This window comes from Homo sapiens, chromosome 8 (assembly GCF_000001405.40).
Source record: "Homo sapiens chromosome 8, GRCh38.p14 Primary Assembly".
Taxonomy (NCBI): domain Eukaryota; kingdom Metazoa; phylum Chordata; class Mammalia; order Primates; family Hominidae; genus Homo; species Homo sapiens.
This window is the reverse complement of record NC_000008.11, coordinates 82,887,080-82,888,364: the sequence shown is the minus strand read 5'-3', so window position 1 is coordinate 82,888,364 and position 1,285 is coordinate 82,887,080. Positions and strand designations below refer to the sequence as shown.

Here is a 1,285-nt window from a genome sequence, read left to right as displayed (position 1 = left end):
ACTCCAGCCTGGGCAACAAGAGCCAAACTCCGTCTCAAGAGACAAAACAAAACAAAACAAATATAGTGGCATTAATTACATGTGCAATGTTGTGCAACCATAACCACTAACTACTTCCAAAATTTTCCATTACCCCAAATAGAAACTCTGTACCCATTAAGCAGTAACCTTCCTTTCCCTCCATCCCAGCCCCTTGTAACTTTATTTTTTTTATTTTTTTTATTTTTGAGACAGAGTCTCGCTCTGTCGCCCAGGCTGGAGTGCAGTGGCCTGATGTCGGCTCACTGCAAGCTCCGCCTCCTGGGTTCACGCCATTCTCCTGCCTCAGCCTCCTAGTAGCTGGGACTGCAGGTGGCCACCACCACGCACAGCTAATTTTTTGCATTTTTAGTAGAGATGGGGTTTCACCGTGTTAGCCAGGATGGTCTCAATCTCCTGACCTCGTGATCCGCCCACCTCGGCCTCCCAAAGTGCTGGAATTACAGGCGTGAGCCACTGCGCCCGGCCAGCCCCTGGTAACTTCTAATCTACTTTTTGTCTTCTTGAATTTTCCTATTCTAGATATTTTATATAAATGGGATCATACAAATCTTTCTCTTTATGTTTGGTTTATTTCACTTAGCATAATATTTCCCAGGTTTATCCATGTTTCAGAATACGTCCCAATTTTATTTATTCTTACACCTGAATAATAATTGCATGTAGTTATCACATTTTGTTTATTCATTCATCTCTTGATGGACACCTGACTTTTTTACACCTTTGGCTATTGTAAATAATGCTGCTATAATCATTTGCATACAAGTATCTGTTTAAGTCCCTGATTTCAATTTTTTTTTATACTTACAAGTGAAATTGTTGGACCACATTTTAACTCTATGTTTACCTAGTTTAGAAACTGTCTAATTGTTTTCAACAGTGGCTTCATTAGTATGTATTTCCACCAGGAAAGTATGATGGTTTTAATTTCTCCAAATTCTCCCCATAATTTCTTAATTTTAACAGTATTTTATGGATTTTTCAGGACATTCTACATATAACATCATGTTATCTCTGAATAAAGATAACTACTTCCTTATTTCCATTTTAGATATCTTTTCTTCATTTTTCTTTGCTAATCACCCTGGTGAGAATATTCAATACTATTGAATAGAGGAGGAGAAAGCAGATATCCTTGTATTTTTTCTTATCTTAAAAATTGACTTTGGGTCACTTACCATTGTATGATGTTAGGTGTGGATTTTTTAAAATATGGTCTTTATTATTTTGCAAATATATATTTCTA

General features: G+C 36.8%; 1 annotated feature.

Moving 5' to 3' along the window:
• Positions 364-864: an enhancer, noted in NCBI's record as "H3K4me1 hESC enhancer chr8:83799736-83800236 (GRCh37/hg19 assembly coordinates)". NCBI's record gives its function as "activates a minimal SCP1, AML or CMV promoter by ChIP-STARR-seq in primed H9 embryonic stem cells {active_cell/tissue: H9 hESC(primed)}" and the evidence as "EXISTENCE:reporter gene assay evidence [ECO:0000049][PMID:30033119]".